Source organism: Homo sapiens, chromosome 22 (genome assembly GCF_000001405.40).
Source record: "Homo sapiens chromosome 22, GRCh38.p14 Primary Assembly".
NCBI classification, from domain to species: domain Eukaryota; kingdom Metazoa; phylum Chordata; class Mammalia; order Primates; family Hominidae; genus Homo; species Homo sapiens.
The window spans coordinates 48,855,916-48,883,876 of record NC_000022.11 but is presented as its reverse complement, the minus strand read 5'-3'; the positions used below and the strand labels follow the sequence as shown (position 1 = coordinate 48,883,876).

At 48.3% G+C, this 27,961-nt stretch overlaps 1 long non-coding RNA gene across 1 annotated transcript in view, besides 6 other annotated features; it reads right to left on the bottom strand.

Moving 5' to 3' along the window:
* Window positions 1-17,107, bottom strand: part of LINC01310 (long intergenic non-protein coding RNA 1310) — a 31,617-nt gene extending 14,510 nt beyond the window's left edge. The window contains exon 1 of the long non-coding RNA NR_038944.1: window positions 17,030-17,107. This is a non-coding gene — a long non-coding RNA (long intergenic non-protein coding RNA 1310). The remainder of the gene's footprint in view (window positions 1-17,029) is intronic.
* Window positions 1,042-1,211: an enhancer, noted in NCBI's record as "experimental_63550 CRE fragment used in MPRA reporter constructs". NCBI's record gives its function as "activates a minimal promoter by MPRAs in K562 erythroleukemia cells, with activity observed for both the introgressed and non-introgressed 22:49278563 or rs28604929 variant alleles {active_cell/tissue: K562}" and the evidence as "EXISTENCE:reporter gene assay evidence [ECO:0000049][PMID:34662402]".
* Window position 1,126: a transcriptional cis regulatory region, noted in NCBI's record as "Neanderthal adaptively introgressed variant 22:49278563 (GRCh37/hg19 assembly coordinates) or rs28604929 in the experimental_63550 CRE". NCBI's record gives its function as "modulates activity of the experimental_63550 enhancer by MPRAs in K562 erythroleukemia cells {active_cell/tissue: K562}" and the evidence as "EXISTENCE:reporter gene assay evidence [ECO:0000049][PMID:34662402]".
* Window positions 11,394-11,894: an enhancer, noted in NCBI's record as "H3K4me1 hESC enhancer chr22:49267795-49268295 (GRCh37/hg19 assembly coordinates)". NCBI's record gives its function as "activates a minimal SCP1, AML or CMV promoter by ChIP-STARR-seq in naive H9 embryonic stem cells {active_cell/tissue: H9 hESC(naive)}" and the evidence as "EXISTENCE:reporter gene assay evidence [ECO:0000049][PMID:30033119]".
* Window positions 14,085-14,584: an enhancer, noted in NCBI's record as "H3K4me1 hESC enhancer chr22:49265105-49265604 (GRCh37/hg19 assembly coordinates)". NCBI's record gives its function as "activates a minimal SCP1, AML or CMV promoter by ChIP-STARR-seq in naive H9 embryonic stem cells {active_cell/tissue: H9 hESC(naive)}" and the evidence as "EXISTENCE:reporter gene assay evidence [ECO:0000049][PMID:30033119]".
* Window positions 14,585-15,086: an enhancer, noted in NCBI's record as "H3K4me1 hESC enhancer chr22:49264603-49265104 (GRCh37/hg19 assembly coordinates)". NCBI's record gives its function as "activates a minimal SCP1, AML or CMV promoter by ChIP-STARR-seq in naive H9 embryonic stem cells {active_cell/tissue: H9 hESC(naive)}" and the evidence as "EXISTENCE:reporter gene assay evidence [ECO:0000049][PMID:30033119]".
* Window positions 26,991-27,490: an enhancer, noted in NCBI's record as "H3K4me1 hESC enhancer chr22:49252199-49252698 (GRCh37/hg19 assembly coordinates)". NCBI's record gives its function as "activates a minimal SCP1, AML or CMV promoter by ChIP-STARR-seq in naive H9 embryonic stem cells {active_cell/tissue: H9 hESC(naive)}" and the evidence as "EXISTENCE:reporter gene assay evidence [ECO:0000049][PMID:30033119]".

Genomic DNA, 27,961 nt, shown 5'->3' with positions numbered 1-27,961 from the left:
ATGCCAACCATTGCCTCACTGAACCTGCATTGCGGTCTGGCCAGCTGACTAAGTGTGTTGTCACGTGCAAACAAGGCACTGAGGCAAAGCTGGTCCATGATTTGTCCACTGCCCAGTGACGGAGCTGGGCTTAGACCAGCACTGGCCCAGGGGCTGAGCTGTGAGCACAGACACCCTGCTAGGAGCTCAGTGTACTCACGTTCCTGGGAGCTAATGTCGCCCGGTGATGTGGGTGAAATGGGATAAGAATGGCCACTTCCTCTCCTTCCTGGGTCCCCTACTCCCTCTCCTTCCCAGGCCCTGGGACTTGCTCTTGAAGCATCCCTGAAGAAGCAGGTGAGTCTCACCCAATCCCTGGGCTCCAAGATGCTGGGAATCCATGAAGGCATGGAAGGATGAACACGGGTCCAAGCAGAGAGAGGCTCCATGGTGGACACTGGCCAAGTTGGGAGGCCTGGAGCCGGGCAAGCGTTGGGCTCCTGTCTCCCACCGCCAGCCGAGCGCCAGCAGCACAGAAGACCACCCGTTAAATTTTCAAGCTGAGCTGTTTAACGAAGCCCTCGGCTATTTGTATATAAATTTCCATGTGGAAAACGCCAGTGTGGGCTTAGCTCCGAGAATGGTTTCTACAGCATCCCTAATGACTCCATAAATCTCCAAAGCGTGCACCTTTAATCTGACATAATTAAAGACCGAGTTCTTTCCAAATGAAACGTTTGAACCAAGGAAGGCAGCTCTAAGTGTCCCAGGTCTGATGCTGGGCAGTGGGTCACGGCAGCATCTCCTCCTGCCTGACTATCCTCAGGGACAGGCTTGGCCGGGACGGGAGTGGGGACGGCAGGCTCAGGGCCCCTTCTCCTCGGGCATGTCCCTCAGACCCCCGCCTGCTCAGAAGGGATGGATGGATGAGGGGCAGGGCTGCCCCCGGTGGGCTGGGAGTGGGCCGGGCGTTCAGGCTGGGCAGAGTCACGGATGTTGTGTGCTCTCCCAGCTGTGTGAGGGAAGATAAACAGTGGGGGTATTTCCAGTCCTGCTGCCTCCCGCTAAGGAGGAGACCCCGGGTGCAGGGCAGAGCTGAGGCCTACCAGGTCAGCCCCAGGAGGGGCTGAGGACATGGCTGGCTCGGCTTCCCTGGGACATGACGGGGCCACCATCCTGCCTCCCCCAGGCTGGGTCTGCAGTGCACGGTGTTAGTATAGGGTGTGATGTGTGTCATGTGTCCTGCATGTGGTGATGTGTACCTGTGTGTGATGTGTGTGCTGTGTATCCTGTGTTTGTGGGTATGGGGTATGTGTGGTGTCTGTGCAGTGGTGTGTGGTTTGGGGTTTGTGTACGTGTGTGATATGTGTGGGGTGTCTGCTGTGTGTGATGTGTATATGTGTAGGTTGTGTGTGTGTGGTGTGTGTGTGCATGTGTGTGTGGTGTTTGTGTGGTGTGTGTGGTGTATATGTGTTTGTACATGGGTTGTGTGGTGCGTGTCGTGTGTGTGTGGTAGAGTGGTTTAGGGTATGCGCACATGTGTATGTGTTGTGTGTATGTGTGTTGTGTGTCCACGTGTGGTGTGTGTGTGGTGTATTGCGTGGTTTACCGTGTGTGCATGTGGTGTGTGTTTGTGCATGGGTTGTGTGGTGTGTGTCCTACGTGTGTGGTGGGTGGAGTGTGTCTGCACGTGGGTTGTGTGGTGCATATCCTGCGTGTGTGGTGTGTGTTTCCGTGTGGTGTGTAGTGTGTGTGGTGTGTGTCCTGTGTGTGTGGTGTGTACGTTTTCACATTGGTTGTGTGTTGTGTACGTGGTGGTGTGTGATCTGGGTATGTGTGCATGTGTTTGGTGTGTGTCCTGTGTGTGTGGTGTGTGGTGCATGTGGGTTGTGTGTGGATGTGTGGTGTGTCCTGCATGTGTGGTGTGTGTGTGTGGTGTGTGTCCTGTGCATGTGGTGTGTGTATTTGTATGTGGTGTGTAGTGTGTGCGGTGTGTGTCCTGCATGTGTGGTGTGTGGTGTGTGTGTGTGTAGTGTGTGGTGTGTGTCCTCGTGTGTGGTGTGTGTATTTGTGTGTGGTGTGTAGCTTGTGTGGTGTGTGTCCTTCATATGTGGTGTGTGTGGTGGTTGTGCTTGCACATGGGTTGTGTGTTGTGTATGTGGTGGTGTGTGATGTGGATATGTGTGCATGTGTGTGGTGCCTATGGGTCGTGCCCAGGTTGTGTGGTGTGTGTGTCTGCATGTGGGTTGTGTGGTGCGTGAGGCAGGAGGAGGAGCTGGGCCTGGGCAGCGGCACATGAGACACGCAGCCTGGTCGGAAGGGCACACGGAGCCACAGGCGGCCCCAGGAGGCCACACTCACCCTAAAAAGAGGCGAGGCCCAGGATGAGCGGACGAGCAGGAGTGGGGCTCTGGGCGTTTCCCAGCAGATCCCGGCGGGGGTGGTCTGGGAGTCGGAGGAACGCCACCACCCACAGCCACCAGGACATGATGGATTCAGGACGAATTCCCTGGCCGGAGCTCTGGTCTAAAAAAGGAGGGCGCAGGCCGGGCCCGGTGGCTCAAGCCTGTAATCCCAGCACTTTGGGAGGCCAAGGCGGGCGGATCACGAGGTCAGGAGATCGAGACCATCCTGGCTAACACGGTGAAACCCCGTCTCTACTAAAAAAAAATAGAAAAAAATTAGCCGGGCATGGTGGGGGGCGCCTGTAGTCCCAGCTACTCGGGAGGCTGAGGCAGGAGAATGGCGTGAACCCGGGAGGTGGAGCTTGCAGTGAGCTGAGATCGCGTCTCAAAAAAAAAGATGAGTATGCAGCCCAAAAGACGGCCCCAAAGGTGATTTACTGATTGTGAGGGAGAAGGTGGAGAATCCACGGTGGAGAAGCCCTCGTGGTCAGCACCCTCACCGCGCCATGGCAGCCACAGCACCAACAGCAGGGCAGTCCTCAAATTGTCCATCAGGAGGACTCTGCTTCACTTCATGGGTTTTCCCGCCAAAAAGAGGAGCACGAGGAAACATTCCAGAAAGACAAGTGAAAGCACATTCTACAGAACAGTCAGGCTGTGATCCTCAAGATTATCAATGTTGTGAAAGAAGGATGAGAAATTATCCCAGAATAAGGGAGATGAACACGTGACAACTAAATGCAATGCATGATCCTGCTGGAATCCTGAGCCATTGACTAAGAACAATCATAGTTGCTAACAAGGACATTATTTGAAGAGGGAGTGAAATGTGGGTATGGACTCCACACGGCACTGTAGGGTTGTGTCAGTGAGAGATTTTAGTAAGAGACTCGAGGTATGTGAATGCTCTTAGAAGATACGGATGATGCGTTTGAGGCAGGAAGTCACGATTCTGAAAGTTACCTTCCAATGGCGCATCAACAACAACCACTGCCGTTACAACAGAGATAAAACGGGCAGGATGACATTGCAGCCATGGCGGATCCGGCACAGGGCATGGGGTTATGCATTGCACTGTTGTAACTTCTCACTTTCTGAAATGTTTTCAATGTGAAAAAATACAAATAGAGTGATGAAAATGATACACCAGCAAAAATATATATATGTGCATATACACACACACATATATGCATATATATGTATATATGTGTATATATGTACGTATGTATACACACATATACGTACGTATGTATACACATATATGCACGTATGTATATATACACATACGTATGTATATATGTATATGTATGTGTATATGTGTGTGTGTATATATGTGTGTGTGTGTGTATGTGTGTGTATATATATATATATATATATATATATATATATATATATATATATGAGAGCCAAGATGAACCATTATGTGAGACACACTGGAGTTCAAGGGCAAAACTGGAAGGATACAGAAGCCAGTTATGTATTGGTCAAGGGAGCAGGTGATGGAGGAGACGTAATGACCACGAGCACGTAGGAGCAGAACAACACAGCCTCAAAATACATCAACAGCCAGCGAGCCACCTGCAGAGTAGGAATACGCGAGCAACACTGCAGAAGATTTTAACACTTCGCTACAAGTAATTGACAGAACAAGTAGGAAAAAATCAGCAAATTTAGATAACCTAATTAAAGAGCTCACAGTAGAAGATAGATTATCTTACACCAACAATCAGAAAATGCACGTTCTGTGTAAACATACTGCGAACAACATGTGCTCAGAAATTAACCATGAGCAAAATTACAGAAGTATTCTCCCAATTCCAAAGAATCAACATCATACTGATTATCTTCCAGGCCAATGTATAATAAAATTAGGAGCTATTCACTGAGGAGTATTGTTAAAAAAAATCTCATAGGAACCTAAATAACAGACAACTCAATATGCCTTGGGAAAAATCATAAAACTTATGAATACCTTAGAGTAGAATGAAAATGAAAATATATTCATTGGTGAGACATAGTAAAGCACTATGAGGAATTTATGAGTTCAAAATATATTTACGAGAAAAAAACAAGGTCTTGTAAATCTTCTAAGCAGTAAAATTCAGGATAATTAATGACAAAAAAGAGATGACTGTCTGAAAATGCTTGCAAAATAGTAAACTTAGTCAAGACAAGAAAGAGAGACAATGGCAATGAAATTCTTAAGACTGAAAGTGATCAAAGAAGACACAGATGAGACAAAAGGATGTTTCCTCAGACAGTTCAGTATTAATGAATTGGAAAATCTAGATAAAATACTTAAACTGAAAATGACAAGCTTAAAACAAGGAAAAGTTTGAAAATGTTACCTCCTTGTATCTCTCAGAAGGGCTTTAATTAGATAATTTCTGTCAAAATCCTGGCAAAAATTTCTGTAGATACAGACAAGGGGATCATAAAATGTATATGGAAAGTCTAAGGGGCTAAAACAATTAAAACAATTTCGAGAAAGAAAACAAAGCTGGAGAACTTACACCTCCTGATTTTAAGAATGCCTGTAGTCCCAGCTGCTCAGGAGGCTGAGGCAGGAGAATCACTGGAACCCAGGAGGCGGAGGTTACAGTGAGCCGAGATCACGCCACTGCACTCCAGCCTGGGTGACAGAGCGAGACTCTGTCTCAAAAAACTGACTGTAAAGCTATAGTAGTCAAGATAGTGTGACATGGGTAAAGGGATAAACACCTAAGTCAATAAAAGAGAACAAAGAGTTCAAAATAAGGCACACAAATATGGCCAAATGATTTTTGACATGTTACAAAGGCAATTCAATGGAAAAAAGATAGTATTTTCATTAAATTGAACATCCATATGCTAAAAGAAAAATGCAACTCAACCTAAACCTCACAGCTTATATAAAAATTACCTTAAAATGACTCATAGCTGTAATGTAAGGCAGTAAATATTATTTATTTATTTATTTATTTATTTATTTATTTATTTATTTATTTATTTGAGATGGAGTCTCACTCTGTGTCCAGGCTGGAGTGCAGTGGCACGATCTCGGTTCACTGCAACCTCTGCCTCCCGGGTTCAAGTGATTCTCCTGCCTCAGCCTCCCGAGTAGCTGAGATTACAGACATGCACCACCATGGCCTGCTTTTGTACTTTTAGTAGAGACGGGGTTTCACCATGTTGGCCAGGCTGGTCTCGAACTCCTGACCTTAAGTGATCCTCCCACCTCGTCCTCCCAAAGTGCTGGGATTACAGGCGTGAGCCACCGCACCCAGCCAGGCTGTAGTATTTTAGAAGAAATATAGGAAGAATATGTATGGCCCTTGATTAGGGAAAGAATACTGACAAAACCATAAGCACATTCCGTTTAAACAAAGATAAATTAAGGCTTTAAGTTTGCTTTACACTGAGAAAGAACCTGATAATGTTATTGAATGCTAGAAAATATTTACAAATCACATACCTGATGAAATACGCACATATGTAAAACTCTCATGATTCATCAGTAAAAAAAAAACAAACTCATTTTAAAAATGGGAAGATAATTGGAGCAGACACTTCACCAAATAAATTACCAAAGAAGTGGATGAAAGGGTGCTCAACATCATTAGGCATTAAGGAAATAGGAATCAAAACCACAAGGAGAGATCACTGCACACCTGCTAGAATGGAGAATATATACATATACAGGCAACAGTGTGTACTAGTGAGAAAGGTGAGCAGCTGAACATCTCTTGTGTCATGGCTAGCAGACATAAGAAGTATACAGACACTCTAAAATTGGCTGTTTTTAATGAAGTTAAACACACTTACCAGATGACAGGAATTTTATTTGTAGGTGTTTACCCCAAAGAAATGAAAACTTGTGTTTACACCCAAAACTGCATATGGATGTTTGTAGCAGCTCTATCTATTCTGTTCATTAACTGGAAACGTCGCACCTGTCCTACAACGGTAGCATGCATAGAATAATAGGTATCCATACGGTGGGATTCATTTAGTCATAAAGGGAAATAAGCTATTGATGTGCACCAGTTGGATGCATCTCTAAGGCATTATGCTAAGGGAAAAATAAGCCTCTCGAAAGCTGACATTCTTGAGAATCAAACTTATATTGGTGGAGAAAAGTTCAACGATTACTAGAGGTTAGGATGTGGTGGGGTTTCAATACAGAGGGCAGCATGGGGGAGCTCTGCGGCGGGTATAAGGACTCTCTACCTTCTGTGACAGTGGTTGTAGGATTCTGTGCGTGTGTTAAAACTCATTATATTCTACCAGAGAGGGAGAGGGAGAGAGGAAGGAGGAAGGGGAGGAGAGGAGAGACAGAGAAAGTGAAAAACACTCTAACCCAAATTAAAGACAGGTTGCAGATTTGGAAAATTGCACTGTTGTAAAATCTGAACCAGACAGGAAATTAATATGTATTAAGTTCCAGTACATTTAAAAGGACTAAAAGCATAGATAGCATGTTCTCTGACTAAAGTGGAATTAAATTATAAACCAAGTAGTAAAGCCCGTCTGGAAAATCCCTAAATATTTTGAATTTTTAAATTACTTTTCTAAATACCCCATGGGTCAAAGAGGATATCACATGAAAAATTATAAAACATTATAAACTGAATGAAAATTTAGTGGCCTTTAGTTAAGCAGTGCATAGAATGAAATTTGTAGTTTTATAGGTTCACATGAAAAATGAAAAGTGTTTTGAAATTAATGATCTAATATTACACAACAAGAAAAGAAAAATCAAGCAAATGAAACTTAAAATTAAAAGGTAGGGCATATTAAAGATAAGAATAGAAATCAATAAAATTGAAAAACCTCAAACAATGGAAAAGATCAATAGAACCAAAAGCTGGTTCTTTCAACATTGTCCCTTTGTGTTTGATTCTCTGCAGTCTGAACATGATATGCCTAGGTGTAGATTTTTTGGTGTTTATCCTGTTGGATGCTCTGAATTTCCTGGATCTGTGGTTTGGTGTCTATCATTAATTTTGGAAAATTATGAGCTATGATCCCTTCAAATATGTACTGTGTTCTTTTCTCTTTATATTGTCCTTTTCTTTTCCCATGATGAGTATGTTACCCCTTTTGTAATTGTCTCAGAGCTCTTGGATATTCTGGTTCTTTTCTTTTTTCATCGGTTTTGGAAGTTTCTATTGACGTCTCCAAGCCTACTGACTCTTTCTCAGCCTCGTCCAGTCTACAGATGAGCCCATTGAAGGCATTCTTCCTTTTTGTTACAGTGTTTTTTATTTCCAGCCTTTCCTCCGGACTCTTTCTTAGAATTTCCATTTCTCTGCTGACATTATTCATCTGTCCTTGCATGTTGTCCATTTTTTTCATTATAGCCCTTAATAAAGTAATTATAATTATTTTTTACTTCTGGTTTGATAATCCCAAAAATTCTGCCATATCTGAGTCTGGTATTCATGCTGGCTCTTTCTATTCAAATTATGTTTTTGTTTTGTGATATGCCTTGCAACATTTTTTTTTCTTTGAGATGGAGTGTCGCTCTGTCACCCAGGCTGCAGTGCAGTGGTGCTATCTTGGCTCACTGCAACCTCCACCTCTGGGGTTCAAGCAATTCTCCTGCTTCAGCCTCACAAGTACCTGGGATTACAAGCCTGAACCACCACGCGTGGCTAATTTTTTTGTATTTTTAGTAGAGACGGGGTTTCACCATGTTGGTCAGGCTGGTCTCGAACTCCTGGCCTCAGGTGATCCACCTGCCTGGGCCTCCCAAAGTGCTAGGATTACAGGCATGAGCCACTGCGCCCGGCTCTACATTTTTTGCTGAGAGGTAAACATATTGTAGTGGGTAAAAGAAATTGAGACAAAGAAGCCTTTCTTGTCAGTTTGAAGTTTCTCTGGCTGAGAATTAGCTATAGGTATTGGAGGTTCAAAGCTCCTCTGAGGCTCTTGCTTTGGTCTTCCCTACTGTCCCTGGGTCTCCCCTTCTTAAATAAGGTGCTGAGGTGTGGAAGGGGTATCCTCTGGTCCCTGATTAGTCTCAGTTTTTAGGGAGCCTGTGTCCCCTGGACTGTGACCTTCACAAGTGCTGCTCAGCTTTGTTTTGATTTCCTCTCCCTTAAACAAGACAGGAAAGCTAGAGGGGCTGGAGTTGGGTGTGTCTCCTCCCTGGGTCATTAGGCACTGATAAAACCCCAGGAGGTTAAGATCTGGTAACACTTTTTCTCTTGAGAGCAGCCCCTATTAAGAGCAGAGCTCCAGAGCTTTTCCCACCCCTGCTAGAAGCAGAGGGGAGTTTTCTCTGATATTCACTGTGAGGTCCGGGCAGTGTGGGACCTCCTAAGACTGGGGTCCCCTCCCGAGTGTTTGACATTCAGGCCTGTCCACACTGAGCCTCCGCGGTGCTTCTACCAGTCCTGAGTCTGGCTGCCAGCCTCTGCTCCTGGGCGTCTGTTCCTGGGAAGGTGTAATTCTCTAGACCCACATGCATTTCTCTGCAGCTGTGGAGGCAGTGTCTTACCTTGTGTCCTAAACTCTCTGATAAATCTGAGAAGGGTTGCTTTCAGTTTGTTCAGGAAAGACATGGTGCCTGCCTGTGGCCCCAGCTACTCGGGAGGCTGAGGCGAGAAGATGGCTTCAGCCCGGCAGTTCAAGGCTACAGTAAGCTATGGTCGCCACTGCTCTCTAGCCTGGGCGACACAGTGAGACCCTGCCTCTAAAAAAAAAAAAAAAAGGAGAAAGTGAGAGAAACGAGATAAGACATAAATACCAATATCGTGAATGAAGGAAGGGACTCATTACAGGCACAGTATAAATTCAAAGGATGAAAAGAAACATGAGTAAATTTATGCAATAAATTGGACAACATAGACAAAATGAAAATCATCCTTGAAAGGCACAAATTATCAATATTGAAGAAAGGAGTACCAAATCTGAATAGTCATTAAATGCATAATTTATAGTCTCTCCTCAAAGAAAACTCCAGACCTGGATGCATTCAGTGATGGATTCTGTCAAACACTAAGGAAGAAACAGCACCAGTCCCAAGTGAGCTCTTCCAGAAAACAGAAAAGAAAAACCTTCCATCTTATTCTATGTGTCCAGCATCACCACGATTATGATGAGGGGAAAATCACACAACGTTAACTTTTAAAAATATCATGAATATAGATGCCAATGTTTATAAATTATTAGCAAATTGAATCTAGATACATATGTATACAAAGACATAGACACATGCCTATACATATATATATATATATATATATATATATATATATATATATATATACATGTCTGTGTATATCTGTGTGTGCACGTGTGTATATTCATTCCCAGGAATGTCAGGTGGATTTAGAAAATTGATCAATGTAACACCCTATATTAACAGAATATAGAAGAAAGTCAATAAATTCGACACAGGCATCTGACAATATTCATTATTCACTGACAGAAACAAACCTGAAAATGCAGATTGAAGAAGGAATAACATTTTTATGTGAAGGTGACATGAGCAGAATATCCTACGGAATCTGAATGATCTCAGCAAGACCACAAAGGTAACTGTATTTCTAAATACTAACAATGAACCAATGGGAAATTTAATTATCAATATTTACAGTAGCATGAAAAAAGCATGAAATACTTAGGGATAATTTTTTGAAATAGTGTAAGATCTGTATACTTAGAATCATAAAATACTACTAAGAAAAATATGAAACGAAAGCCCTAAATAAATGGAATGATAGAGGAAATTCGTGAAGTAGAAGAAACAATATTTTTAGCACAACAATTCTGCCCGACAAGACTTATACAATCAATGCCATCCCAATACAAATCCCAGCAGGATTTTTTTTTCTAAATAGAAATATGTAAGTGATTCTAACATTTATAGGACAACGCAAAGGATCTAGAATAATGAGAATAATTTTGAAAAAGAACAAATTGGAGGTTGATGGTTGCATAGGTATAAAATAGTCAATACTCATTACACTGTACTGAAAAGAATTGCATTTATTGTATTGATATCATGTCTCAATACAATGATTTTAAAAGGAAAAGCACTCCCTTCACTATGTAGCTGTGATAATGGCCTGTTTGGGGAACAGCCCCTCTCTTTGTGCATGTGACATTTCCAAAGCTGAGACAGTCCCTGGGGAAGGGAAGGACCCAGTGATTCCTCTCTGGTTTTCATATGAGATTCTGCTGGCATTATTAGCATAAAATTCAATGTTCTGGATTAGGGAATGGGGAAATTAATGCGATTTGCATTTCACAGAAAAATTTCTGTGACATGTGGCAGCGATGATAATTCCCATGCAGTCCGTGGGAGCAAGGGCAGCCTCAGGCATGACAGAGTCTCAGGGACAGCACTTGCAGCTCCTCAGCCACCGGGCCGTGGTCCCCAAGAAGAGGCAGCTGCTGGGTTTGACGCTTGCTCATTCCGAAAGTTGCGCCACACTTAAAGGTTCGTTTTGGAGTCGGGGGGATTTCTGAATCCAAGCAGGTGGAGACATCTGGCCCATCAGACAGGATGGCCAGCAGCCGCCCCAGGGAAGGTGTCCCGGCCGTCAGCCCCTGCTGTAGCAGCCTCACTTTGCAGGACACCCAGAGGTTCCTGAGCATGAGTCTGGAAATCTCACGGAAAAGGCACACATTTGGAAGCAGGTCCTGCGCACTGATAGTGGGATGCCTGATTCAGCGGAGAGAGAAGAAGCCTTTGGCAACTGACCAACACGTGTGTCGATTCATTCATTTGCTTAAGTCTTGAAAACACATCATATGCCAGGCACTGTACAAGATGCTTGGAATGTAATAGAAGGAAGGAAGGAAGGAAGGAAGGAAGGAAGGAAGGAAGGAAGGAAGGAAGGAAGGAAGGAAGGAAATCCCTACCTTCATTGAGCTAATATTCTAGCAGAAGACAAGCAAGACAAACAAGAAATAAGTAAATTATCACGTGTATATTTGGGTAGGAAGCACATGCTAAACCCGCTGGGCTGGAGGCTGCTCTGTCTACTGCCCACCTGGTGTTTCCCTTCCCCCTTCCTCCCCGCTGGATGAACCTGGCTTTTGCCCTGCTCTGGATGTGAGCCCTTTGCGGGGAGGGTCTCTAGGGCTCCATCAGTGAAGGGGCTCAGGGAATGTTTACCCTGCGTTGCTGGAGGAGGAAGCGATGGGGGGGATGGGGATGGAGCATCAGGTTCCAGATCTCAGAGCACCCAGGACTGAGCTCTGGGTATCCCTGCCATGGAAGGCAGGAGGGAGGAAGTGATGGGGGTGGAGCATTAGGTTCCAGATCTCAGAGCACCTGGGACTGAGCTCCAGGTGTCCCTGTCATGGGGAGGCAGGAGGGACAGGGGCCTGACTTGTGCCCCATGGCCGTGGTGGCACACACTGTCTCAGATGCCTGGAGGCTCATGTTAATTTCCCCAGTGCCCTACAAGAACAGCCATGTTCCTCAGTGAGACGAACAAGGTGGACCTGGGCAAAGCCAGGGACGAGACCACAGAAGCCCCGCGGCTGCTTCTCGGAGCCAGGGGAGGGGCCGGACCAGCCTAGCCTCCTGGACTTTATCAGGTCCTGAGCTCTATAGAGGCTGAAGCTGTGGCTTTGGAGCCTTTGTTGTGTGTTATGTTTCTGCTGTGGGGACCTCCAGGGCTCTTCAGACCAGGAAGAGCCTGAGGCCCCCAGGGAGCAGGTGCATGTGCACATACAGGGGTGAGGAAGCCACGTAGGGCCAGAGAGGCAGAGGAGGGTGAACTCTGGCCTTCCCAGTAGCATCCAGGGAGGAAGCTGGGAGGGGCAGCAGGGTGGTGGGTGGGGGACAGGAGGACTCGGCCTCACAGGAGCCCAAGAGGGACAGGACTCGCAGTGGGGAGGCTGGCTGGGGGTGTGTAGAGACCCAGCGGGGAACCAGACCAGAGCTGCTTCCTGGGGTGTTGGGGTGGATGCCCAGATGGGGAGGCAGGGGGATGGCCACCTCTTAGAGTTTTGGTAAATGTGTGCCAAATAAGAAAATGAACAGCGGGGCGGGCATCAGTTCACCACCTCCATCACTCCTCAGACTCCAGTGTTCAACCTGGCCCTCCCTTCTGAGCACCTCGTGCTTCCCTGGAGCCCTGCTCCCAGCTGCAGAGCCAGAGGATGTGCTGCCAGGGAGAAGCTCGCACGCTGCTCAGAATAGGACACCCCCAGATGGATCTCAGGTCCCTAGAGAGACAGCTGGGGGCTGCAGACTGGCTCGGCCCCGGGAGGGCACCAGCTCGCCCCCTCACACTAAGAACCCAGGGTGAGACTGCATCTTTAAAAATAAAAGCCACATCTTGACAAAACAACACCAGTGCATGGACCCTTGAGAGCCGTTTAATCCACACCAGCAGGAAGCCCCCGGCACAGGGTGTGTGCTCCCGCTGCTGCTGGAGGAAGATCATGCAGACACACGGGCGATGTGGAGGTGCCACGGCCCCCTGATTCCGGGGGCACGCCATTATGATGGAAATTTTGGCTGAAATGATGGTAATAGGTGACCCCTCTACAATATTAGAGACAGTTAAACCATCTGTTTTTCCATCTCAAGTACACATTCGATTTTATATGCATACCTGCATGGAAAAATGACTTCCAACAAAAGAGCGTTTTCATTATGTCAACTGGCTTCTGGGCGCACATTTTGGACGGTCATTCAAAACACATTGGCAAATTTCCCCTGAAGGAAAATGTGCCGCTTGGTGGCTCCAGCTGCTCAGGCGAGGAGGAGCCGACCTTCAGGGCCTGCCTCAGGTGCCTCAGCCTAGAGTCCCAGCCCCTGGCACAGCCCTTGGCCCTGACGTTTCTCCCCCGGCCCCCACAGGGGGGCCCAGGGTGTGTTCGGTTCTCTTTTGCATCCTCAGCAACAGCCAGGTGTGCCTTCACAGCGCAGCCTTGATTTCCATGACAAGTTAAACCGTCTGCCCCTCCGTAGAGCTTCAGGCCCATGAGATGAGCAGGGCGTAGGGCAAAAGAGCATTTGACAGCATGAGAGTCTGGCAAACGCTGTGTTTTAGAGGGATCAAGAATGATGGCGAAATCAGGCAGGAGACGTAGTTCATGTTCCCTGGGAGCTTAGCAGAGGAGGACAGGCACCCACCCCAGGGGCACACAGACCACACCAAGGCTGCCTGGGGGAAGCAGGATGGAGCGCACTGCGGAATCTACCCGGGAGGATGATGGGAGAGCTGAGGGTGGGGACTGAGCAGATGCTTGTAAGGTGGAGAAAAAATAAAAGAGAGAAGTCTCCCTGGCAGGAGGCAGGGGGAGGACCAAAGCAAGATGGTGCAGTGCCTTTTCAAGGAGTAACAGGCAAGAAATAGTAAAAGAGGAGAATGAAAAGTTAGGAAAGAAAAAAAAAGAAGGAACAATGGCCTAACCAATGTGAAAGATCACTTCTCTCTCCTGCACAAATCGGGGGGTGGACAGGGCAGAGAGAAGGGGAATGGAATCCTCCAGGGCTCAGGCCCCTTCTCTTACTATGCTTGGATCCTTACTGAATTTGCCTCAGGGTCCAAGATGGCTGCGTGTGCACCAACCATCACGTGTGCTATCCTGGAAGAAGGGGCCCTCCCAGAATACCGCAATACTTCTGCTGACCTCGCCTTGGCCAGAACCTAGTGGTCTGGACTGATCTGACTGCAGAATAGGCCTGGAGATGGCCTCTTCTAGATGAGTGTGTGGCCATCCTGAGTAAGATCATGGCTCTCTAAAAAGGAAGGAAAAAATGATGCTGGAGCAGCTACTGTCAGGAGGCCAAATTATCATGGCCACCAAAGGCCCAGCTTAGAAGACAAGCCAGTTTCAAGTTTATTAGGAGCAGGCAGCACAGGCTTTTGAGCATGAAGGTAAAGTGGTCAGGTCTGACTGTCAGCCTGGAGCCCTGGGGGCCAGGGTGGAAGGTGGACACAGGGCAGTCAAGCCAGGTATTTGCGCACAGATATACTGAGTGCTATCGGGCCCAAATGCTGTGCCAGTCCAAATAATTAGACAAAAGAATGTCTTGGCAAAGCCCGTTCCCTTCCCCGCTCCCTCCTAACCTGGGAAATAATGTCCCAACCCACCGGTTTTCCAGGACAACCAGCTCCCCAACCGTATCCAAGCCACCTCCCAATTCTGACAGCTCCCTCCCCAGGGCCCCGCAGGTGTGACAGCCTCCCTTTGGCCCCACAGTCTCGTCTGGTCCTGATCACCTGGGCACTGCCATGGGCCCTTTGTGGGCCCGTGCATTGCATGCCTACAGGCCTGTACCCATCCCACAGCCAGGACGCCGGGCAGCTCCACGACCCAGAGTCCCTTTGTAACGTCAGCTGCACTGGAGGTAGATTGCCAGGTAAATTTCAGTACCTAAGTCCCATATGAATTTCAGGTCAACAACAAATAAATTTTGTTATAAGTTTAGCCCCAATATTGCCTAGGACATGCTTAGACTAAAAATAAGTGCCTTGTTTATCTATAATTCAAATGTAACTAATCCTCCTGTATTTTGACTTGCTGAACCCAGCAAACTGAATTTGAAGGGTGTTTCCTGAAACTATTTGAGTGCTCCTCAGCCACATTCGGTTTGGAACAAGGAGCCAAGGTCCAATTTCCAGGCAAAACCAAATGGTGCCCTTGCTCCCACCCAGGGACGGTGCCAGGAATATGCCAGCCATCCCTGGACCCGAGAGTCACCAGGCACGGGCCCTGCTTAGGGGTTGATCATCTCTGAAACCTTCCAGGAAGGACCACTTTGGAGATGTCATCTGACCTCCTTTCCTGGGAAGCTGCGGGCCTGAAGCCATCTTCCAGGATTTCTCTCTGTAGCTGTAGAGCTAACTAACACCAGGCCTCCGGGCCAGGAACTGGCAGAGGATTCTGAGGGCATTTTAGCCTCAGGCAAAGCCTCCCTGACCCCCCATCTGCAGGACTTGCAAATGGACACTGCTTCCAGCCCTCCTGATGAGGACACGATTATTCTTCTCCACTGGTGCCAAAGCAAAATAAAATTCCATTTGCTTTTCTGACACATTAAACAAGAACATTAGGAGTTCTGCAGGGGTGACCATATTTTAATATGCTTGGAAACCGTGGCAGGGGAGGTTCATTCCCTTGCCTGTTTGTACAGGAGAAACAGTGAAAGAAATCTGAGTCAACCAGGCTGCAGGGAGTAGAAGGCTGAGACTTTTTCTTTTTTTTTTTTTTAATACAAGGTGGTGCGTAAAAGTAATAAAGAGGTCACAGGGAAAATCTGTATCATGATGAATCCAGTTATTGCAAAAGAGCTGTTTCCTTCAATGTTCGAAAGCTGATAATACACGTGCACAGGCGTCTGCTTCTAATTTCAGGGAAGCTAAGCCCAGGAGCGACCGCTTTGGAGGCCATCTGCATGGAGCTGGCTGTCACCCCTGGTGCACGCGAGTGGTGGGGTCTGTACCCCGGAGGCCCTGCCCCACCAGGCAGGACGAAGGACAAAGCACTCCTTCCCTTCTCCAGCACACTCTGTCCTTTGCACCCCCTCAGGGTCGCACAGGTCATTCCTGCTTCCTGGAAAGACTCATCCCTTCAAACTGCTTTTTAAGCTCCTACTCAACCCTCAAGACCCATCTCACAGAGACCTTTAATTACCTAGGGTTGAGCTAGTCCTGCCTTCCCCTGCAGACGGCCCCATTATGTTCCAGGCAGCTTCATTCACAATTGTCTCCTCTTTGAATGTGGCTTCCCCAGGAGCAGGGACCAGTTTAATTTGAGTCCTGTCCCCCATGTGTACCGTACAGTAGGCAGAATGTGGTGCTGAAGTAATTAATGTCTCTAAATATTGAATCCTTCCCACAACCCCAGAGGAGATCCAATTCTGATGTCAGTGGAATAAAATGCAGTTCAAGTTCAACTTGAATTGATTCAGATGGTTTTCAGCACAGCCACCCACCGTTCCCAGGCCCCGGCCCCTTGGCTGGCCTCTTCCGCTCCAAACCGGTGGCTTCTTCCTCGGGGAAGGTGCTTCAGGCAGCAGGGGTGCCAGGACAGAGGCCTGGAAGATTCTGTACTACGCAGCATGGGGGCCACATTCTGTTGCTGGAAGGGAGTCACAGGCTTGTCCAGCTCAAGCGCAGGGTCAGTGAGAGTCTATCCTCACACTGTCAGAGCCAGCTGGGCAGCATGCCGGGGCAGCTGTCCTCCAGACGGGGACTCAGAAGCTTTGTGCTTTAACTTCATGACACCGGCATCCAAGCTCACAGCTCTGGGCCCCACAGTGGGCAGGGAATGGACCGCAGGGTTGAGCCTTTGATCACAGTGCTCGTGCTTCCCCCTGTGCCGTTGCAGGCCTCAGTTTCCCCAGCTCTTTTGCCTGCACACCTGGGTCCCACATCCCCAGCCTGAGACAGGATCTCCTTGTCACCGTGGCTCTGCCACGTCTGGAGGTTTCCTGACCGCGCTCAGGCACCTCTCTTGGAACCTGTTTCCGCATCAGCAAGGACAGGCGAGGCCAGGGAGGAGGAAGAAGCTAACTCTCGTTAAAAGAAAAACTTTACACAAATTAAATCTAACAGAGTTTAACTGAGCAAAGAATGGTTCGGGAATCAGTCAGCCTCCCGAACCAGAAGAGATTCAGGGAGATTCCGGCACTGCCGTGGGACCAAAGAAGATTTATGAACAGAAAAAGTAGGGTGACTTACGGAAGACAGAGCGCAGTCCAGAAGCAGCCACTTGGCTCCAGCTTAGGGTCTGTCTTACTTGATCAGGGAAAACTCGATGACTGGCACAAGAGTAGGTTACAGACTATTTACACGTCCAGTTTGGTACAGTTCACTGTGTACAGAAAGACTTTTTTTTTTTTTTTCAGAAAGAGTCTCGCTCTGTCACCCAGGCTGGAGTGCAGTGGCGTGATCTTGGCTCACTGCAAGCTCCGCCTCCTGGGTTCATGCCATTTAGGCTGAACTTATGTGAGGAGGCAGCTTTAGGCTAAGCTTATCACTCTGAATTCTCAGTGGCATGTCGGAGTTTGCAAGAAAGGTGGATTTCCCATTCATGCCAACTCCTCCAGCATGGCTACAGATCGCGGCTCATCAACAACTCACACGTTCCTCCCAGGTGTTAGGGCAGGACTCAGAACTGGAGGTCCGTGCACTGGCTCGTCTATGCTCCAGCCTAGAAATGTCCCCGAGGCATGGCCAGAGTCCTCCAGGCTGGGGAGCAGCGGAGGCCAGGCCATGCCAGATCTGTCGTCTGGGTTTAGCTTCGTTGCAGTGAGTGTTTACAGCTGAGTGGTGCTCTGGTGACCGTTGCTCTACAATGATCCCTCTGGCAGCTCCACGGAAAACAGCAATAGTTGTCCAATTCAGGAGTGAGTTTCCACATCCATCCCTGCTAAGGGAGTGCACAGTGATGGTGACTGAGAAGCTCCTCAGAGCACCAGTTCTGAAGTCACACACGTTGGGTTTGGGACTGGGATCCAACAACTCCTTGTTGTGGGACAGTGTGCAGTCCTTGTCTGGTGACCCCACTTCCCGGTCTGCAAAATGGGATCCTGAGACCTGCCCCTCTTAGGGCTGGGAGGACCCGACCAGCAAAGCCCACACGGCCTCAGGGCCAGGCAGGTCCCAGAGTAAAGGACGTGCCAGCGTAATTGTTGCCCTGGGTGTTGTTAGTGATATCACTGAGAGCTGATATTTTCCTTTCTCCACTGCCACCTCCACGAAGACAGCACACATTTGCTTAAGAAATAGCAGCTAGAGCTTGGGCTGAACTGTGAAACATAGCAAGTGTGCTATATCAATCAGAGAACACTTTTCCCTGGCACCAGTGATTTCTCGGAGAACTGTGAGCCCAGGCATCAGCTGTGATTCCATGAGTGATGGAGGGCCAAGAAGCAGAATGACACCAAGGGACCTTTTGTAAACACCCGCAGGAGCTCTCTGCATCCACGACAGGAAAATAAAGACACAAACTCTTCTCTGAAATTAGGGAAAAGGAAATAGAGAAAGTAGATGAATGCTTTAAGGAAATTTTTGAAGATAGAAAACTAAAAAACTATTAATTTAAAAATAAATGAAGTACACAAGCTCTAAATAATGGCATCTTTCCCCCAAACTGTCATAGAAGAAAAGCTAATGTGTTATTTTAAAGGATGACTCTCAGATGACCCTTTAAATTCCATTTATATTCTAGTGATTAAACAAAGCGATTTATTAGAGTTTTACAGAGGCATTTTCTCCCTGTGTCTTACAACGCAGACCACATCAAAAGCACCCATTTACTGCCATTATTTCAATACTGATTTTATTTTATGATCTTGATTTGTGATTTATAACTTTGTTTTTCTTGAGATTCCCGTCTTCATGTTGTTGGACCTGTGTGTAAAGCAGGAAGCAGCTCCCTCCCTTGGATGTACTAAAATAGTTACTGCTTCACATGCGTGATGCTCCTGGCTACCTTCCTGCCCCTGATACAAGCCATGCCGAGGTGGGGAGGGGTCCAGCCCACGCAAGCAGGGAGGGAAGCCTGTGGTCTCCCCATTGGCAGAGGAAAGGGGTGCGGACGCAGGCACCTGTCCCAAGAGGGAAGAAGGCAGATTCAGGATGGAATTAGCAAGACATGCTCCCCGACTGATTGTTACTTTCAAGAAAGCAGCCGGCCGCACTGCCAGCTTTGATAATTGACTTTATTCTACCATTGATGGATAAATTGACTGATAGATGTCAGACAGAGGCATGACCGAGGTGGGACCAGGTTTGTGCAGAAAGAATGATCGGCTCTACTGATTCAGTAAAATTCATAGTTTCAATAAGCCACAAACACACACCCCCCAAGCACTAAACACACAGGCACACACACGCATGCACACGTACATGGGTACACACACACACACACACACACACACACACACACACGATACTTTCAGGAAGAGCTGAGTTCATGATTCCAAAGCTGGAGGAGTGTCTCAGATGTTTCCTTCTGAGACCTTGGATGACTGGCGTGGGTGCCGGGGCATGGGGGCAGCTGCTGGCCCATCAGAGACAGGCCTGCCCATCAGGAACTTATATAGAAACCACAATGTGGCCAGGCTGGATGTGCTGTCTTTGCCTTAATCCCCAGCTTCATGTGCCCCAGATTCTACTGTGACCAGGACTGGCCTCTCATACAGCACTCAACCGAGCCCAGTGTCCCCAGCTGCGTCCAGGGTCGCCAAAGTCCCTGCTCTCCTCTGTGCAGGGAAACACTCAGGCCCCGCAGGTGCCAATCTCTTCAGGAATAGTCAGGAATAGCACAGGCATCTGCTCTGGAGCCTCAGCCTTGAGTGGTCCATGGAGAGGAGGCGGTGCTGGCCTGCACACCATTCCCTCCTGGAAGCCGATTGCTGGGAGGCTCCACCTCAGCCTGCTATCCAGATCCATGCTCCACCCAGCAGTCCCCATGTGCCTTAGAACAAGGTCAAGAGAGGTATTCATGCCCAGGCCATGGTGAAAACCCGTCTGCTTGTTCTCTTTAGTAATTTCAATTATTTTATTTTTTTGTGAAAATTACACATGTGCATTAGGAAATTTTTTTTTAGTACAGAAAGCAACATTATCACCCCAATCTCATCCCCCAACAGGAACTTGCCTTCATACAAGGAAACAACCCCAGACGGCCTCCACCAGCCAGGTGGGAGGTCAGTGGGAGGAACAGCAGGGAGGGTGGGAAGTCCTTCTACTCATGCTTTTAATTAGATGATTTATTTTAAATTATATTTAATATGAAAAATAAAGTAAAACAAAGGGAATGGTCGATCTTCATTTCTTTACCATGGAAATGTTCATTTCTAAAGATCTTTTTAAGAGAAAAAAATAGAAACATTGAGAGTTTGATAATGAGGGTGTATGAGTGAGTGTGAGTGTGCCTGTGTTCTTATTTTGTTTTATTTTATTTTATTTTTATTTTTATTTTTATTTTTGTTTTATTTTGAGACAGTCTCACTCTGTTGCCCAGGCTGGAGTGCAGTGGCACAATCTCGGCTCACTGCAACCTTTGCCTCCCAGGTTCAAGCGATTCTGCTGCCTCAGCCTCCCAAGTAGCTGGGATTACAGGTGCACACCACCACACCTGCCTAATTTTTGTATTTTTAGTAGAGACGGGTTTCACCATGTTGGCCAGGCTGGTCTCGAACTCCTGACCTCACATGATCTACCCACCTCGGCCTCCCAATGTGCTCGTATTCCAGGCATGAGCCACCATGCCTGGCCATGTGTTCACATTTTATTTGCTGTCTATTCACTGAATTTGCTGTGAATGAGGAAGAAACCAGCCGGTTTTCCCTTCCTCTCACACGTCAGTGCTTCTTTCGGATTATGTTAGTTATATTATTTTTATTTGTACTGTTTTTTAAGGTCTGTCATTGCCAAGGTTGTTTCATCTTCATTCTACATTTAGGTGTGTACTAGTCAGTGCACCCGATGCATGCAGTTGGCATTTAGGTGTGTATTAGTGCACACGATGGATGCAGTTGGCATTTAGGTGTGTATTAGTGCACACGATGGATGCAGTTGGCATTTAGGTGTGTATTAGTGCACACGATGGATGCAGTTGGCATTTAGGTGTGTATTAGTGCACACGATGGATGCAGTTGGCATTTAGGTGTGTATTAGTGCACACGATCCATGCAGTTGGCATTCAGGTGTGTATTAGTGCACACGATCCATGCAGTTGGCATTCAGGTGTGTATTAGTGCACACGATGGATGCAGTTGGCATTCAGTTGTGTATTAGTGCACATGATGGATGCAGTTGGCATTCAGGTGTGTATTAGTGCACACGATGGATGCAGTTGGCATTTAGGTGTGTATTAGTGCACACGATGGATGCAGTTGGCATTTAGGTGTGTATTAGTGCACACGATGCATGCAGTTGGCATTCAGGTGTGTATTAGTGCACACGATCCATGCAGTTGGCATTCAGGTGTGTATTAGTGCACACGATGGATGCAGTTGGCATTCAGGTGTGTATTAGTGCACACGATCCATGCAGTTGGCATTCAGTTGTGTATTAGTGCACACGATGGATGCAGTTGGCATTCAGGTGTGTATTAGTGCACACGATGGATGCAGTTGGCATTTAGGTGTGTATTAGTGCACACGATGGATGCAGTTGGCATTTAGGTGTGTATTAGTGCACACGATGCATGCAGTTGGCATTTAGGTGTGTATTAGTGCACACGATGCATGCAGTTGGCATTTAGGTGTGTATTAGTGCACACGATGCATGCAGTTGGCATTTAGGTGTGTATTAGTGCACACGATGGATGCAGTTGGCATTTAAATGTGTATTAGTGCACATGATGGATGCAGTTGGCATTTTTACCAGACCTTTGTTCATCACTTCGCTGTTCTAATTAAGCCTTTGACGAATTCACTGACAATTGTTATAGGGGATGTTTTCTTCAGTTTGTTGTTTAACGTTCACTTGTTTTTCTTTCTTTTTTGCCGCTGTCCCTTTCCTTCTCTCTCTCCTCCATTTCCTTCTGTGCCAGCGTTGGCTCCACCGCAAGACCCTTTCTCTCTCCATGTGATCTTCCTGCAAGCGCTGGTCTCTCTGGCCATCCTGTTTGCTCTGATGCAGGCTGGAATGGCTTTCCTGGGCTCTCCGTCATCCAAAACCCATTTTCTCTGCCCTCTGGGCTGTGGCAGGGCAGGGAGTCCCTGTGGGTTTGTGGCTCTTGATGTTCATTTTGTTCAACATCAGTAACGCAGTGGCACATGGAGAGGTGGCCTCCGCGGTCATAGATGCTTCCGTGAGGGACCTAGGCACTGACTCCTGCTAAGAGATTTCTAAGTGACCTATTCAGGTCTGACTCCTCCACCTAATCACCACTTATTCTGTCTTTTTAACCAGACCTTCCTTTATTTTTATTTATTATTATTTTTATTATTATTTGAGACAGGGTCTCACTCTGTTGCCCAGGCTGGAGTGCAGTGGTGTGATCTCAGCTCACTGCAATCTCTGCCTCCTGGGTTCAAGCAATTCTCCTGCTTCAGCCTCCCGAGTAGCTGGGATTACAGGTGCCCGCCACCACGCCCGGCTAATTTTTGTATTTTTAATAGAGACAGGGTTTCACCACGTTGGCTAGACTGGTCTTGAACTCCTGATCTCAAATGATCCACCCGCCTCTGCCTCCCAAAAGTGCTGGGATTACAGGCGTGAGCCACCACGCCCGGCCCCGGCCTTCCTTTAATTCAGCCTGGAAGCTTGGCACAGGGTAGGTCCTCAATATCCCTTCTTCCTCTGCAGCAATCCTACAGTGGTGGGCCAGGGTTTTTCTTCATAATAATTTTTTGTCTTAACTTTTCCTCTGGTTGACCATTCACTTCCAGGTCACGTCTCTCCACATGTGGGGAAGTCTTGGGATATACTTCCCAAGGATATCCTTCTTTTCCTGGAGCTGATGCTCCTTCTTTTCCTGGAACCCCTTCCACTCGGTGGAGCAAGATGGAAAAGCCCTTGGGGAATCTGAATGTGTTTCTTTTCAGGAGCGGCAATGATTTTCCGAGTTCATATGATGACTTTGTGTGCCCTCTTTTATCTTGTGGAGTTGCTAGATTTTTTAATACATTAAAAAATACACATCTATTTAAATTACACCCAACACTTCACTGTTTCATTTTTGAAACAGTTTGAAACTCTCATATCCATGCCTAAATCTTTGTGAGAACTGAGTGAGGTGAAGGTGCAGAATGCTGCTGCGTCTCCCTCCAGCTGCCCCTCTCCGTCCCATCATCCGAGCGCCTTCCCCAGAGGAGCTTTGCTCACCGTCCCGCCGCTAAGACACTCCCTGCTTCCCCTTGCCTTCAAGCTGAAGTTCAAATTCTTTAGCCAGACATCCAGGTCCTTTAAATCAGCAACAACCACTTCTCCCACTCCAGCCCTAAAATTAAGTTGTAAGTGCCTGGCACTTCCATGCCAATGTATTTAAGTTTTCCCTTTTTTGTTGCCAGGAATTGTGTTCATCCCACTGTGCAGTGCAGTGTGATGTGGTGAAAAGACTGCCCGGAGGTTGGAGAGGCTGCCCAGAGTGTGGAGAAGCTGCCCAGAGGGTGGAGAAGCTGCCCAGAGGGTGGGGAGGCTGGGGTTCAGGATACTGACTCCAGCAATTACTGGCTGTGTCCTTGGTCAATTTACTCATCTGCAGAGCACCTTCCAGGCAGAACACTTGGGAGGAATAAATGACACAATAGTCTTTAAACACCCGGCAGGGGTAGGTGAGAAGAGAGTACAGAATCCTGTCCTCATGCTACCCAAGTCTACGAAGGCGTCCTGCCCCTTCCCCATCATGATCACGTGTTTTCCATGCACGGAGTTTGCACCATCTCTCCATCCACCCCCTTGCCTGGGCAGGTTTGAGTACCCACTCCCCCACCCCCAGTTTATCCATCTGCTTCCATTCCACTAAACTCCCTGAAGGATGGAGGGGACAGTGGCTTGCCCCAAGCACCACACCTGAAGCTATGATCTTCAGGAGACAAAGAGGACACTAGAGCCACCATTCACAGGCTGTCTCCCAGGCCCTCCTTGCACAGGATGTACAGGCTTCCAGCCCCCATTCCAACCACAAGCAACCAAGGCTCAGAGACACCAGCTAAGACACAGAAAGTCACTCAGATAATACCAGGAGGGTTATGATGCCCGTGCATTTCTAATATGACAGTGATGCCACTGTATAGCCAGGCTCCTCCACTGGGTCTAAGATAAGAGCCAGGATGGAGATTCTCATCTGCAGAGAATCCTCTGTACAGCTTCTTGTCAGGACAGGCTTGGGGAACATAGACCTTCATTTGGAGATGGTGGAAGAGTCGGTGCCGGTGTCTCTGTGCAGAGAGGGCTTCATGGGTAGAGATGTGGGCATGGAGCTGATTCATCCAGATTTGGGGCTCTGATGTTCACTTGTTGATCAAGTTCTTACCTTTCATAAGCCTCAGGGGTTTTTTTTCTATAACATGTGTTTAATAACAAGAGTCATTACTTCCCCATAAGTTTATTGGGAGTATCAACCCAGTTAATCTATGAGAACAACCATACAGGGCATGCAGCACTCAATAACTTTTGCAAGGATAGGTGAATTCGTGGATGGATGGGGGAGGGGACAACAGGTGAGTATATGGACGGGTGAATGGATGGATAGATGAATGGATGGAGGGTGGGAGGGACAGGTGGATGGATGGAGGGTAGAAGGGGTGGATGGATGAATGGATGGATGGATGATGGAGGGTGGGAGGGACATTGGATGGATGGATGCTGGGAGAGACAGATAGATGGATGATGAAAGGTGGGAGGGATGGATGGATGGAGGATGGGAGGGAGGGAGGGATGGATGGATGGATGGATGGATGGATGGATGGTGGGAGAGACAGATGGATTGATGAATGGATGATGAAAGGTGGGAGGGATGGATGGACGGATAGATGATAGAGGGCGGGAGGTACAGATGGATGGATGAATGGATGATTGGGGGTAGGAAGGAAAGATGGATGGATGGATGGATGGATGGTGGGAGAGATGGATGGATGGCTGATGAAAAGTGGGAGGGATGGATGGATAGATGATGGAGGGCAGGAGGGATGAATGGATGAATGGATGATGGAGGGTAGGAAGGACAGATGGATGAATGATGGAGGGTGGGAGGGAAGGATGGTTGGATGGATGATGGAGGATGGGAGGGACAGATAGATGGAGAGACACTTATGGGCAGGCCGTATGTTAAGCAATGAGAAAACAGCAATGTTTGAAAACTTATGTAATCTCCAACCTCACGGAGTATACACTATGGTGGGATAAACTGGAATTATTCAAATACATAAGAACAAGTGTGAAATTGCAACTGTAGCATGCTTTGTTCAGGAGAGAAACTCGGTTGTATGAGGCTCCCTACCTGAGCATTTGACCCCTAGCTATCACCTGCATGACCCCTGCCTGACCTCATCTGAGACACCAGAAAAGGCTTCTGTGACAAGGTGACTTTAAAAGCTGAAGGCTGTGTGAACAAAGAGGGGATGTGAAAACATTGGTGGTTCAGGACGGGTTTCCTCAGAGTCCTGTTGGATGCGGACCCGGGGGCTGGAGTGGACAGAGCAAGGTGCTGGTGGCAGGTGACTCAATCTTCAGAAAGATGGCCCCGGGCACGGAACTGGTCAACCTTGGTGCTAGACTGACTTTGGAGAGGGGAAGGATTTGGGAAGGGCCAGGGATGGCCTGGGGTTTCTGGCATCATCTGCAGGATGGTGGTGGTGCCGTTCCCAGATAGAGCAGAGGGTCTGAGCTGGGTGAGGTGGAGCCAGGGCCGGGTGCTGTGACAGGTGGATGGACAGAGAGAGAGCATGGAGCTCAGGGATGGGTAGGAGCCGGGGTGGGAAGGTCGGAGCTGAGCATGGAGCTCAGGGATGGGTAGGAGCCGGGGTGGGAAGGTCGGAGCTGAGCATGGAGCTCAGGGATGGGTAGGAGCCGGGGTGGGAAGGTCGGAGCTGAGCGTGGAGCTCAGGGATGGGTAGCAGCTGGGGTGGGAAGCTCGGAGCTGAGCGTGGAGCTCAGGGATGGGTAGGAGCCGGGGTGGGAAGGTCGGAGCTGAGTATGGAGCTCAGGGATGGGTAGCAGCTGGGGTGGGAAGCTTGGAGCTGAACATGGAGCTCAGGGATGGGTAGGAGCCGGGGTGGGAAGGTCGGAGCTGAGTATGGAGCTCAGGGATGGGTAGCAGCTGGGGCGGGAAGCTCGGAGCTGAGCATGGAGCTCAGGGATGGGTAGGAGCCGGGGTGGGAAGGTCGGAGCTGAGCATGGAGCTCAGGGATGGGTAGTTGCTGGGGTGGGAAGGTCGGAGCTGAGTATGGAGCTCAGGGATGGGTAGGAGCCAGGGTGGGAAGGTCGGAGCTATCTACACGGGTCCCAAAAGGCCACAGGTACAAATGGCACCACGCAGATGGGGCATGGGGGTGGCATAAAGAAAGAGGGCACCTTGTCCTTGAGCAGACCCATCACCCTGTGGCCAGACAGAGGATGAGCCCACAGGACAGAAGGCACAGCTAGAGAGGAGGAGGACAGCCCAACATGGCCACTGGGTGTCAAAGGCCAGGCAGCGGAGGCGGAAGGCAGCGCGGGCATGGAAAGCCTGGCCAGAGGGAGGAGAGAGGAAAACTCACCACTGTAGGAAGAGGCAGGAAGGACGGAATGCTCAGTCACTGCTGTTCTCAGACACACTCACACAGCAGGCCTGAGGCCATCTTGCAAACCACATTCATGGGACCTTGTCACTGTCCCTCCTGTAGAGCTCCTGGTCTAGAGGCAGCCATAGCCCTAGGAGCAGAGTTCTGTCCTGTGCCCATAATTTCCTGTGGGGCAGTGCCAGGACCTCACAGTCCTTGGGGACATTTTTGGGACCCAATATCTGAACCTCAATCTGATGTTAGTCAATTCTCTCCAAGAGTTTGGGAGTCAAATGACACCCCAGCCCTACCCTAAGCCTCTAAGTCCACTTTCATGGAGCTGGTTCTTGGTCAGGCTCAGGACGAGGGACATGCCCAGGCACACACATACTCGCAAAAACGCTCACACACACTTTGTTGTTTAATTCAGCCAAGCTCCTCACTTAAAAACTGTATTTCAGTTTCTTTCAAATTGATCTATTGCCAAAAATTCTTCTAACTTAACATTACAAAAATAATCATCACAAACTCCATAAATCATGAACTTATAACGATGATGGTAATCACTGATATAATGGTTGCTATATTGAGATGGATGGCATCCTAATCACTGGGGCCATCATTTGTGTCCCAGCCAATATTAAATTCTTCCTCATGCACTCAGGGGACAGGCAGCCCTGTCCAGGGCCTGAGGCCATCTCTCCAACCGGAGTCCCCCAGACAAACGCCTGCTCCTGTCAAGACTATGGTGGGGTGGGCTCCCTACCAGGGCTCCTGCTGGGCCACCTGCGTCACCCTCCAGCTTGAATTTCCCACTTGAGCAGCAAGCGCCCGTAAGTGTGCACTCCCACAGGCGTGGTGTGCAAGGCCAAGCTGTCCCTGCTGCACGAGGCCACTGTCCGTCTGCTGCAAGCAGGGCTCCATAGAGGGGAGGTTCTGCCCTGCTAGACCAGAAGAGCCACATCCTTCTCAGGGTCCCAGCTGGCGCGGGCCTCTTCCCACCTGGGCAGCAGCTAAAGAGGAAGCTGTGGGGTCACTCAGCCCTTGTGCCTGTGTGCCAGATGGACAGGTAACACAGGGTGGGGGTGTGGCAGTGTCTTGTAATATATGCATGCACTCCCTGCACATAGACACACACGCTAGGGCACAGGGCCCTTTGCAGTGAAGTCCAGGCCCTGTTCTCTTCTCCTTGTCACCAGTTTATGGCATTAATCTCAGCACTGTGTCAGAACGCCGAGGGGCTCACAAAGGCCCCACGAAGGCCCCCTGGATGAAATATCAAGGAGAGAGGGTTCCGGCACACAGTGACTGAGGCCTGGTCCAGGGTGGCTCCCTGTGAGCAGTCCCCTCGGTTGGACAGCAGCTTTGCTCTTCTGGGGCCAGCCATCACCTGTCTATAGGACATCCCCACCCATCTGCCATGGGCCAGGAAGCCCTCATCTACTCAAGC